The sequence below is a fragment of the Homo sapiens genome, chromosome 8 (genome assembly GCF_000001405.40).
Source record: "Homo sapiens chromosome 8, GRCh38.p14 Primary Assembly".
Classification (NCBI taxonomy): domain Eukaryota; kingdom Metazoa; phylum Chordata; class Mammalia; order Primates; family Hominidae; genus Homo; species Homo sapiens.
The window spans coordinates 6,429,756-6,443,395 of NC_000008.11; the positions used below are offsets into that span (position 1 = coordinate 6,429,756).

The following is a 13,640-nucleotide window of genomic DNA, read 5'->3' on the forward strand; positions in this document are numbered from 1 at the left end:
CCCAACTGCCTTTGCTGAATCTTTAGCGTCTCCTGCCACAGTTATTGCAGTATTCCCTGACTGGCCTCCTCCTCCTGGACCAGTGATCTGCCCACGACCCCTCCCTCACACCTGTCCCCATGCCCCAGACCCACAGGACAGGGTCCAAGCTCATTAGCTTAGAAAGTACAACCCTTGGAATCACATGAATTCTTTTTTTGTTGCTAGTCTCCTAAGTTGCATTCATTCACTCAGTCATACAAATGGTGTATGTTTTCCCCACAATGTCACCCTGTTTGCTGCACTGTGCTTGAGTCTATGCTCTGCTTCCAGATGGAAGATCTGTGTCCTCCCACATCTGCCTCCTTGTCAGAGTTGAGTCTGGTGATCATCTCTGACCTGAAGCTTTCTCTGAACCATACTCGTTATGCAACCTGTTGCTGCTTTTCTGCCTGGTTGTACTTCTCTTGTTACAATTACTGCACTGTGTTCTTTTTTAAATTTGTACATTTTTGCAGATTTCTCTGATGCCTGGCTTAATAGAAGACAGTTGCCTTCTCATATCTGCCTCTGCATTCAGTGTATTGGGGTGGCACATGTCGTTTTGCTTCGGAAAATTCCACTGCATTGTATACTGAGGGGATAATGCGAGATGAGAAAGGAAAATCACACGTTAGTGTTGTTATAAAGATAGTATTGACTTTACACACCCTCAGAAGGGGGTCAGGGATGCCAGGATGACATTCACTACCCTAGTGTCACTTACCACATTGCATAGACCATACTGTGCCGTACAGAGGCACATATTTCTGAAACTTCCTTTATTCCTAATATATTTTGTAGAAATTTCTATATCAATATGGATATGTGTTTTTTATTGCAGTGTACTTTATTTTTTCAAATAACTGTTCGTGTGTTAGATGTTGAACGGTGATAGGCCTGTGAGGGATAGTTGGAGAGGTGAGTAGAGGCCTTATAAAAACACTTAAACAGCAGATGAGTGAGAATATGCTCTAAACATGGGAGTGACAGAAGGTTTTTATCTAGGTTGGGAAGAAATTTAAGATTAATATTTCAGGAATGTATGAGTGAATTAGAAGAGGAGAAACAAATAGTAGGGCAGGAGATCATTTAGAAAATCATAATTATTTAGACTTGAGTGACAGAATGCTAAGAAGGAGATAAGGGTCACAGGAATCCAGAGATACGAAGGTGGACAGGAGAAATGGCAGGTGTGTCCACAGGGCAGGAGGAGGAGGCTTGGCAATGCGGAGCATTGGTTGCACACCTGGGCCTTGGGGCTGATGGTGGTGTCTGGACAGAAACACAAAAAGGACAACCCAATTTTGGAGGAAAGAGATGTCCTCTGACTTCAATTTCTTTACGTCCCTTCTACCTCTGAATTATCTGTTTTATGGCCTGTTTACTATTAAATGATCCATTTAATAGCATTTACCCTTAGCTTTATGAGTACCATGCACTAATAATTTTGAAGTATGCTACAAGTCAAAAATTGTTGTGTAAAAATTGTACTTCCTTTACCTGCCTCTTGCTTCTGTTATACTTAAATACCAGATAGAGATGATTTTGGGAAGTTTGATTTATACTGACTTTTGTATTTGCAGTTGTATTTATTTTTTAAAAGTCTGTTAAAATGACCTAGCTATGGATTTCTTAAATTGCTAATACATGTGCAGATTTAGTGCTGTGTCAATGTATAATAGAAGCAAATACTCATTAGACTACCTTAATTTAATTATACAGATGCAGGACAGCTGGAGCACACATTGATGAATCATTGTTCCCTGCAGCTAATATGAATGAACACTTATCAAGCCTAATTAAAAAAAAAGTAAGTACATGATTTCAATGTAGATAATGGCAATTAGGAATTTATTCGTTTTTATTTTTTATTTCTAGAAAATAAAACTTCTAGAAATATATTCAAGAGTTGTCTTAAATATGCTATTGATGATATTGTTCTTTTCACATAGCATTTTTAAGTGAATTACAGAGATTATTTTATCCTATGACTTCTTCGATAGCATTTGTATGAAATGGAAAAGCCTGTGGTTGGCCATGGGAAGACTAAAAGGTGCCAAGAGACAAGCAAACATTTAGGTGCTTTGGTAATTACTTCAGAATGAAGTTTGTTATATCTGTAGCCAAAATACCTGCATTCTGTTTAGCCAGATAAATCTCAAAAGTCCGATGGACCTACATCCAAGTGTGCAAAGTCATTTATTAGGAAAATCTGCTGTACAAATACAGTTGTCCTTCATTATCCACAGAGGATCAGTTCCGGGACCCCCACAGATAACAAAATCCACTGATGCTCAAGTCCCTTATATAAAATGCCATAGTATTTGCATGTAACCTACACAAATCCTCCCGTATACCTAAGAAAGAATTGTTTGTAGAGACAGGGTCTTTCTATGTTGCCCAAGCTAGTCTCAAACTCCTGGCCCCAAGTGATTCTCCTGCCTCAACCTCCCAATTGGGATTACAGGCGTGAGCCACTGCACCTGGCTCCTCCCATGTACTTTAAGTAATCTCTGGATTATTTAAAATACCTAATACAATGTGAATGCTTTGTAAATAGTTGTTACACTGTATTTTTTTTTAATTTGTGTTAAATTTTTTTTCTTTTGAATATTTCCAATCGCGACTGGTTGAATCCATAGATCTGGAACTTGCAGATACAGAGGGCAAACTGTAGAGTTAAAGACATTGCTTTCATTTGAGATAGAATTCACATTTTAACCACAACCTTTTCGGCTTTCTATTTATGTAAAAGTTCTAATTGTGATTTCTTTATCTGAGGGTACTTTACTCTGAAACATCACAGCCAGCTTGTTTTCACATGAGATTCTCTGTTAGAGGGAGGATTTGATGACTTTCTCCAAACTGAACTACATTTCCTGTAGACTAGAGGAGAAATAACTGTGAATTTCACATTTCCTGAAAATAGTAAATGATATTTCTTCGTTACATTTCATCTCAGACAAGCCATAGTTTGCCCATGCAGTGATAGATGAACTTCTTCAGTCTTACCTGATTATAGGTGAACAAGTGTTCAGCAGTCTCTGGACTCCCTGTGACATGCTAAAATCAAGTGTTTATTGTAAAAACACATCAGTAGTACATACATATTTTCTTTGTAAAACATTTAGTAAACACAGACATCTCTTTGATTGCCCTCCCTCAATGTAAGCAGCTTTCAATTTGATGAGTATCCTAGGTGGCATTTCTTCAGTACATTACACACATGTACACACTCACACATGCATGCTTGACGTGAAGGGGCTCTGCTATCTTATGTGTATCATTTGGTGAGTTGCCTTCTCTTCCCCAATTAACAATATGGTTTTGACCATTTCATGTCGGTAGCTTTGACTCTACTCAGTTTTCTGTATTGCATTATACATTGTGACTGTTTTTCCGGTATTCATGTACTTTTAGTCACTGTCAGTTTTTGCTAAGTATATTACTTAAGCCACATATTTGAGTTTATTTCTCCAAGTCAGATATCTAGAGATAAAATTACTGGGTAAGAATACATACACATTTTGATTTTACCAGCTCCACCAATCATATACAAGATGACCTATTTCTTGGCCAGATACAGTGGCTCACACCTGTAATCCCAGCACTTCAGAAGGCCAAGGCGGGCAAATCAGTTGAGGCCAGGAGTTTGAGAGCAGCCTGGCCAACATGGCGAAACCCCATCTCTACTAAAAATACAAAAATTAGCCCAACCTGGTGGTGCACACCTGTAATCCCAGCTACTCAGGAGGCTGAGGCAGGAGAATTGCTTGAACCCAGGAGGTGGAGGTTGCAGTGAGCCCAGATCATGCCACTGCACTCCAGCCTGGGCGACAGCAAGGCTCTGTCTCAAAAAAAAAAAAAAAAAAAAAAAAACCTATTTCGTGATACTCTGACCAATATTGGATGTTACTAATCTTTTTAATTTTTCCTAATCTGAAGCATTAATGATTGCTTGTACACTTTACCACTTTAATTTTCATGTCTAAAAACCTTCCCTTTCCTTCTCTTTTCCAAATGTAATTGCAAATTAAACCCGACTCAAGGCCTTATTCTTTTGGGTCCTTGAGATGGTTCTGTGCCTCTGTCTCCCCCCTCACCCTGTCTGCTGCCTGCCTGCCCAGCTTGCTGTTCCTCAAGCATGCCAATCGTATTTCTATTTCAGAGCCATTGCGTTATCTGTTCCCTCTGTCTGGAACATTCTTCCCCCAAAATCCTTACACATGACCCGTTTTCCAGCCTCCCTATGGCTTTGTGCAGATGTTACTTTCTCTGTGAGACCTATCCTGCCACCCGTTTATACCAGCAGTTCCTTCCCACTTGTGCCAACTATGCAAGTCTCTTTTCATCTGCAGTGCTGACTGGCTCCTCCTAACACACTGTAGTAATGTGGGCAGTTTGATGGAATACAGTTGCTAGAGAAGATTCACAGGACCCCAAAATAACAATGTGTCCAACCTGCACCGTACCTGAGAACCAGGAAGCGCAAGATGGAGTGTCTTCTTGTATACTGCTGACCCTGAGTCTATATGAACCAGCCCCACTGGCAGAGCCTCCAGGCAAATCCTTCATCTCACTACTCATAAACAATGTTGACAGGCCAGCACAATCTGTCCCCAAACTTCCCGGACCTGTGGCTATAAAGCACCACTGTCTAATTAGTACATTTTGTGTCATGCAGGTACTTTAGTGAAAGCAGTGCAGGCCGGTTCCAAGCCTGTTGAAATGAACCTCCCAAGACACATACAATTTACTTATTTATTATGTTTATTTGCTGTCATTCCTTACCAGCATACAAGCTCCATGATGACAAGGATCTTTCTAGGTTGCAAGACCAGCGCCTGACATAAAGTCATGTTTTTTGTCAATAAATGAGTGAATAACTAACAGAGCAAGATCCCCAGTATAGGCATTAGCCTTGAGTAGCTAAAAGAAGTTCTTTCTATGAGACTGGAGCAAAAGAAGTTAGCGTTTACGTGGGTAGCTAGCTACCCATGTAAGCAAATTTGGGCTGGTAGCTTCGCGCTGAAAACGAAGGAACCTAGACAGATGACTTAAATTTCCCTGGGGTCCTATAAGAAAGAAGTCAGGCATAAAAGTGTTATAGGTAAAATCGATGTGAAGTTCAGTATGTGTATTTGTGCTGATGGCTGGGCTAAAGACGGGAAGTCAATGGGCAGTTCCAAGAACAGAAAGTGGGGTGGGTAAGGCTGGGAACGTGAGGTGTGTTTCAAAGGAAACATTTCCCCTGTCTGAGGATGGTTAAGAGTAGAGTTAACCCAAGACCTTCCTGTGGATATCAGCCTGGGGTTTCATGTGTTTGTGAGTGTAGTTACAGTTTTTGGGTTTTACTGGCTGATTGGAGTTACTGTGATTTAATGACGGTAGGGCAAGCATAATCATGGTTCTTTTCTTTGGTAATTATAAAATAGAAATTGTTTTATTACTGTGTTGTGGTCTTGCAGGGAGGATGACGTGAGAATAGTGCTACCAAGCAGGCAGTGGGCGTGCTGCCAACCCACATAGAGTCCAAGATCATGCCACTTGTTTTGAGAAAAGAAAGGCTTTATTGCAAGTTGCCTGGCAAGGAGACAGGAGGAAACTCTCAAATCCGCCTCCCTGAGGTGGGGGCTCAGGCAGTTTCATAGGCAGAGAAAACAAAGTGTGATCTGATTGGATCTTGCAATGGGGTGATGCTGGGAGGTGTCATCTGACTGGGTTGTGTCACAAGGTGATGCCAGGGCTCAATCTGATTGGATCATGGATTATGCCATCAGGTGTTTACTCCTTAATTTGGCCCCCGTTCCTTGGTCTAAGTGCTTAGGTTCTGCCCGTGGTTACATGCTTGGTTCACCTGGGCATGCTCAAGTGACGTAACTTGCAACTTCAGGGGCCGTGGCAATTAAACAGTTCACCATTTTGATACACAAAGTTGAACTAGATTGGGCTGGTTTGGTGGTAAGAACAGCAAAAAATCGAAAGAGACTGGCTAAAAACTTTCATGGAAACTAAGAATGCTAGGATCATGAAAATGTCTCACAAAGCATAATACAGAGCCTTTTATACAGTCTTTTAAATTCTGTCCATTTTCTTTATAACTGCACAAAAAAATAAATATTGCCAGTTCACATACAGTGCAAGAAACACCTCTTTTAGAATTTTTTATTACTGATGTTATAAAAGGTATCAGAAATGTATGCGAAAGGGCTTTTTCTCCTGCCTTAAGCAGTTGCAGTACAGCATTAATTTTTGTGTTCTTTTTGCACAGCGTAAATGTATGCAGCCCAAAGATTTTAATTTTAAAACACCAGAAAATGATAAGAGATTTCAGAAGAAATTTGAGAAAATGGCTAAAGAGCTACAAAGGCAAAAAACAAATCTAGGTAAGCTAAGAAATATAATACAGTTCTTTGCATTTGTGTCCATACACCTTGTTTAATTTGCATGATGACTAGTGGGGTTCAGCATGAGAGAGCTGATGAAGACTATGATAGCTTTACTCTATGAAGGAGAAAACAAAATGTCAGGAGCCTGCGGGAGACTTGGCTGGGAGCCATAATAGAGCCACGCAGCTTGAGCTAATCGACCACAGTCTTAACCATTCATCAAGGTGGTCGAACTTTTTATTTTCGGGAATGATTTCAGAAGAAAAGCAAACTTTGGCTAATAAGCATTATTGAAATAAATACCTATTTATTTCTTCTTTATATATAACTTTGTATTTTTACCTAATTGGCATTTTTGTTTTGTTACCCTGAATAGGCAAATCTTAGATGATACATTATTTTAGTGATTTGGGAAAATACTTTAGAATATTATGTTCTATAACAAGATGTCTTAGAAAAAAATATATGTATTCTTATGTATATATATTGTTAAATAATATTTTTATATATAAGAATATTATGGGCTGGGCACAGTGGCTCACGCCTGTAATCCCAGCACTTTGGGAGGCAGAGGCGGGCGGATCACGAGGTCAGGAGATAGAGACCATCCTGGCTAACATGTTGAAACCCTGTCTCTACTAAAAATACAAAAAAATTAGCTGGGAGTGGTGGCAGGCGCCTGTAGTCCCAGCTACTTGGGAGGCTGAGGCAGGAGAATGGGGTGAACCTGGGAGGCAGAGCTTGCAGTGAGCCGAGACTGCACCACTGCACTCCAGCCTGGGCAACAGAGTGAGACTCCAACTCAAAAAAAAAAGAATATTATGAAACATTAAGATGCTTTGTACGTTTTTGGTATTTCTGTTTTGCCTTTTTCACTGTCGTCTAAAGTCAGTATTTCCTACTAATTCTGACACAGCATTGCTACAGATAAGCAATTATGGTCACTAGAAATTCCTAGGAAGCATTAATTCCTCTAGTTTTTGTTTTCTTTGTTTTAATCTATGTTACTATGTCACAGATTCTCTATTCTGTGTTTTGAAATTATTCAAATAGAATTGTCGAGATTTATTTTATTTATTTTTTTGAGATGGAGTCTTTCTCCATCACCAGGCTGGAGTGCAGTGGTGCGATCTTGGCTCACTACAACCTCCACCTCCCGGGTTCAAGCAATTCTCCTGGCTCAGCCTCCCGAGAAGCTGGGATTATAGGGGCGTACCACCACGCCCAGCTGATTTTTGTATTTTTAGTAGAAACAGGGTTTCACCATGTTGGCCAGGATGATCTCAAACTCTTGACCTCGTGATCTGCCCGCTTCAGCCTCCCAAAGTGCTGGGATTACAGGCGTGAGCCACCGCGCCCGGCCAAGATTTATTTTAAATCTGTGACGATAATGCGACAGAACTGGGTAGAACACTTAGCCCACATAGTGCTGCCACATAATTTTCCAGAAACATGGCCTGCATCATTTGTTTCATGCTCAGCCCTCCCGCTGCCTCACCTGGTGCGTGTCCATCCTTCCTTCACACCAGCTGTCTCGTCTTCGTCAAAGCTCAAGCCAGAAACGTGCAATCGTCCTTGACATCTCCTTCTTCCTGACACTAACCCCCATCAAGACCATGGCCCTGCTTCTGAAATAGTTGTTTGACTTCTTCTGTTTTCTCCTTCCCTCCTCTCTCCCCTGATGCCTGGATCATCCCTCCTGCACCACTGCAGCCACTCCTTACGCTGCCCTCCACTGTCTCCTTACAGTTCATCTCTGTGCTGCAGTCACAATGGTGAAAACTTTAAACCAGAAGGACATCCCCTCCCTGGTTTAAAATTTCCTGGTGTCATCCCAAGGAAAAATATTCAGGATAAAATCCTGTATTTAACATATCCTCCAATTTACTAGGTGCTTTATGATCTGGCCTCTCTTTCTAGCCTCATAGCAATATTGCACACTCTCCTATAATTCTTTATACTTTTGTCACTTTGGCCTTCTTTGCTATGTCAGTGACAGTGTATTTGAAAATACTTTGGCAACATGGTAATGATAGATACAAAATTTTCTTCTTAGACCAAATATGTATCGTAATTAAAAACTATATGTATAAAGTATTAATGATTCAACTAATGTACATTTGTATATTGTCAGAACTACAGTAAGGGTGATTCAGGCTTAAGAGTCCCAAAGGAGAATATATTAAATGATTCTTGGTATTTTTTTGTTGGGGGTGAGTATCAAAGTTCTGAAGGGCTCTTTGAGCATATGCAAGGTAGCATTCCAGAAAAAAACACAACTCTGCACCCACACAAAACGAGCTCATAACTTCATGGTTCCGGGACCATGCTGATCCCACTTCATGCAGTCAAGTTCATGTCTGGGTCTGTGAGTGTGTTTGAGGGTAGGAGTGATGGTTCATGGGGGCAGTTTCTGAAACCTGAGACAAGAAACAGAAACTAAATTGCATTCCAGCTTTACAACTTTTAACTTCTGTGTCTCAGTCTTTGTCTTCAAGTGGGGATACTGATTTGGGTTTGGATTTGAGGTTGGATGCACTAATGCATATATTGTTCTTAGCACAGTGCTTGGTGAGGGCAGTTGCTCAGCAGATGTGAGCCAGCAGCTGTAGCAGCAACATCACTGCCTGTGGAGGTGGTGGAGGTAGAATATTAGCAGGAGTAGGTAATGATGTTGAAAGGGAAGAAGGAAAACGGGGTGTGGGGGGTTGTTCTTTAAAAGGAATCACATTCCTGAAGTATGAAGGCACTTTTTGGTCTTAAAGTGGATTTTTTGTTTATTTTCAGATGATGATGTACCTATTCTCTTATTTGAATCTAATGGTTCATTAATATATACTCCCACAATTGAAATTAATAGTAGGCACCACAGCGCAATGGAGAAGAGATTACAAGAGATGAAGGAGAAAAGGGAAAATCTTTCCCCCACCTGTAAGTAATTAGTTTGTAAAATGAAAATTATGCAAATAGCCGATTCAATTATGGTGGAAAGCTTCTTTTTTCTTTGCCTAGATATTTTAATGTTTCCTGGTAGTAACACATTTTGACTTATTTCATGGCTGGCTTTGTTTTCCAGAAAATCTTATGCATCATTAAGATTTTTGAAGCATATGTTGGGTGTATAGTATTCTTCAAGTTTAAAATCCTATTTGTTGTAGCTCCTTTGTAATTTCTATTATCTTTGGAATTTTTTCTTTCTTTTTTTTTAAAAAAAAATGAATCATGTCTTTTTTTTTTTTTCTGAGATGGAGTTTTGCATTTGTCACCCAGGCTGGAGTGCAGTGGCGCGATCTGGGCTCACTGCAACCTCCCTAGTTCAAGTGATTCTACTGCCTCAGCCTCCCGAGTAGCTGGGATTACAGGCGCCTGTCACCACTCCTGGCTAATTTTTTTTTGTTTTTTTGTATTTTTAGTAGAGACGGGGTTTCACCATGTTGGCCATGCTGGTCTTAAACTCTTAACCTCAGGTGATACACCCGCCTCGGCCTCCCAAACGGCTGGGACTGTAATCCAGGCGTGAGCCACCGCTCCTGGCCGTGAATCATGTCTTTTGAAGGAATTTGCTTTAGATTAATGTATCTAAGGAATCAGTTTGTTTTTCATTATTTCTTTTATCTTTAAAATTTTTAATTACTGAAGTGTAATTCACATTTTAATAAAACATTTATCAAAGTAGCTAATAGTAAAAGTTCATCTTGATACCCATCTAATTGTACTCTTCTACCTGGGGGTAACCTGTATTTTAAGTTTAAGTGTTTTTCCAGATCTGTTTCAGTGTATCAGATATCTGTGTATACATGAAAAAGATACGGGTTTGGTTTCTGTGTGGAGGTGTAATTTCTGTTTTACCTAAATTAGATAATGACATATGTATTATTATCCGCTTTATTTACTTAAGAGTATCCTGGAGGGTTTGTTTGCAGCTTAGTTGTTGTAGACCTATTTTTGTTTTAAGATGCTCAAAGTAGTCTACAGTTTTGATATTGAAAATCTATTGGTGGGTATTTTTTTCCCAGTTATTAGAAATTGTGTTGCAGTTTTTATTCTTTTTTTAACCATATGGTTTGGTTGTTCTTGTTTTTTTGTTAAGCCATTTTCCTTTCTCTAGACATAAGTCTTTCCAGCTTCCCACCCCGACTTTTTACTGTTATAACCCCTGCATGTGCCTACGTGAATCCTTGTATTTCTGAGTACTTCGTGTATTTCAATAATACTAATTCATACATGCAGAATTTGATTTTTTAAAGACATAGAGTCTCCCTGTGTTGCGCAGGCAGGACATGCACTCCTGGGCTCAAGTACTTCTGCCTCACCCTCTCAAGTAGCTAGGAATACAGGTGTGTGCCACGATCCCTGGCTTATTGATAGATATAGTCAAATTATCCTTCAAAAAATTTGAGTCATCTTATTGTCACCAGTTGTTTATAAGAATGCCCCTTTCTCCATACTTGGAAAACTGAATGGCATTAGCCTGTAGCCTTTTTCAGTCGGAAGCTTGAAAAACTGGATCTGTTCTTGAAGTTACTTTTGATTAGAAGCAGGTTTAAGTGCCTTTTCATATTACTGACTGACTTACCGAATGCAGCTTTTAATGTGATCAACTATTACCTCGCTTAATTTTATGTCCTTTGTCCATATGTATCAGTTAAGGTTAGTTTCGGCTGCATATAACAAAGACAAAAACCAATGTGTTACAATCGATAGAATTGCCTTTCTCTGTCTTGCCTAGTTCAGAAGTAGGCAGCCAGGGCTGGGATGCCATTCCATGGTGTCTTTAAGAAACTAGGTTCCCATCTTTCTGTTGTACCTGCCTGGCTTTTCTTGCAAAATGTGTGTGCCTCCCAGCTAAGCCATCTCCTTTTGACAGCCTTACCAGACGTCTATCCAATATTCCTGTCTAATTCCATTGGCTGGAATGTGGTCATATGGCCACCCCTTTTGCAAGCAAGACTGAAATGTAGTCTTGACTGGGATGCATTGCTGTCCTGATAAAATCAAAGTTCTGTTGTTAAGAAGAAGTGAGAATGGACATTGAGGTAGATAACTAGCTGTGTCCCAGGTGGACATCCAAATTGTTTCAGTGTGCAATTATGTGTATAAACTAATTTGCCTTAAACTTTACTTTTTCTATTACTTGGCAGTGTTAATTCTGCTACTTTACTGCGTCCAGTACAGTTTAAAACTTAACTGAAAATTTTATGTGTGCTTCCCTTCCTTATCTTGGTTTATTCTCTTTTTTTGCTGAAGTTTTCTCAGAAAAGTATCCTTTTGAGTCTCTAAAAAATATCTTTGGATATAAGATCCAAACATTTCTTTTGTTTCTTGACTATTGTATGAACCGCCTTTGAAGATAATACTTACGATCTTATTTGTTAAGTCATTGACATCCTAAGTGTTTTCTATGAAACCTCTAGGATTTCTCAACCCAGCACAGCTGACATTTGGGTCTGGGTAATTCTTTGTTGGGGGCACTGCCCTGTGTGTGGTAGGAAGCTCAGCAGCATCCCTGCCTCTCCCCACTAACACTAGCAGTGTACCTACTGCTCTCCCTCACTGGCGATATCCAAAAATGTGTCCAGACATTACCAAATATCTGCTGGGACCCCAACGTCACCTCTGGTTGGGAAGCAGTGCTCTAGTTTTAGAGGTAACTATGATGAGCATCCTTGAAGAAAAATCCATGATTATCAAATAAGAAGACTAGAACAGACTGGAAATGTTCACTTAATTCTGTTGAGCTTCTGATTAGATTCAGGCAAGTTGACTTTAAGATCCCTTCTAACTTTGTGATTATAGGATTTAATAGAATCACCTATGATTAATAGGAGGACTTCCTGCTGGCTTCATCTGCTAAGAAATACTGAAACTTTATCTAATGCAGTGTCTTGGTCCTGTTTTTAGCTTCCCAAATGATTCAGCAGTCTCATGATAATCCAAGTAACTCTCTGTGTGAAGCACCTTTGAACATTTCACGTGATACTTTGTGTTCAGGTAAAATTTTTATTTTCCTTTCTGTGATATGTTTAAGTTTTGAGAATAATATGATTTTCTGATTTAGAATTTCATGTAGCAACTTCTGATGAGTAAAATAATTAGTTAAAACTAGAACTTCTAAATTTCCCCCTGAAATTAGGTATTATAATAAAATTAAGGCATGAGTTAAACTTCCTTTTTGGTTCCTATAGGTTTTTTTTCCTAGGCATTTGCTTTCTTGCTACAGAATCCATTGCTCTATTTAAAAAATTATTGTGAACGTATATGAACTAATCTGTATGCAGTTTAAACTACATAGAACTGAGGTCAGAGCTAAGGAAATGTTGTTTCACACAATGTATAATTAACACAAGGAACCTGTTATTGAACGGGGTCAGTGAAGTATGTAAAGATCGTCAATTGAGGAGATAAATAGAGGATTTCTAATTAGAAGCAGAAAGAACACTGGTAGGAATTAGTGCAGTTAGTTCCATGTTACGCACATACATGTTTGTAATGTGGGAGCCCTAGTTCCACTTAGGATGGTAATTTTTCATGGTCATATCTTCTTCGTACCAAATTTCTTACAGTTTCTTCACCTAGTCCCCAGTGGGGCTCAAGTAAGTAGCAGTGATCCCTGAAAGTACTATGTTCAAAAGTGCTTGAGATGTTATGGAAAATTTATCATGAAAGCCACAGCAATGACAAAGCGCAAGATGGCATCAAGATATTAGAAGTTTCAAACAAAGCCTCCTTTCAGCGCAGGGTTAATCCTTGTACTCTCACCTCTGTGTGCTGGAATTATTTACCCATTTCTCTTAAACAGTCTCCATCTTTTTATTTTACACTTGTTACATTTATTTCCTAGAAGTTGGAAACAAGTGATAATAATAGCTAACATTGATTTCATTTTTGTTGTTGTAGGCACTCCTCTAAGTGTCTTATTCACTGTTATCTCATTTATTCTCCCATTAGCCTTAAGAGGTAGGTTCCATCACCATCCCATTTTGCCAGTGAAAAACCAGGACACAGAGGTCAAACAGCTTGTCCAAGGTCATGTGGTTTGTGAATGGCAAACCCAAGCTTCTAACTTAGGCAGTCTGACATCACAGATTACACTCTTAGTGACATGTCACATTGCTTATCGGGTTTTTGAAAAGTGTGATAAAACATAAAACAATTTTAGGTGCTGAATAAGATATATTGAGCATCTAAAATTAAAAGTGACCTTATTTCCAACTACTGCCTTGAAGACAC

At 39.4% G+C, this 13,640-nt stretch overlaps 1 protein-coding gene across 19 annotated transcripts in view; it reads left to right on the forward strand.

Annotated features, from left to right (window-relative positions):
- Nucleotides 1–13,640, forward strand: part of MCPH1 (microcephalin 1) — a 241,882-nt gene that overhangs the window by 23,129 nt on the left and 205,113 nt on the right. For 17 of the 19 annotated variants that reach the window (NM_001322042.2, NM_024596.5, XM_017013833.3 and 14 more), the window contains exons 4-7: nucleotides 1,744–1,831; nucleotides 6,293–6,407; nucleotides 9,198–9,341; nucleotides 12,312–12,401. In NM_001322042.2, the coding sequence (NP_001308971.2) occupies nucleotides 1,744–1,831; nucleotides 6,293–6,407; nucleotides 9,198–9,341; nucleotides 12,312–12,401 (437 nt within the window). The remainder of the gene's footprint in view (nucleotides 1–1,743; nucleotides 1,832–6,292; nucleotides 6,408–9,197; nucleotides 9,342–12,311; nucleotides 12,402–13,640) is intronic. The other 2 variants (NR_136159.2, NM_001172575.2) reach the window with 2 other exon arrangements.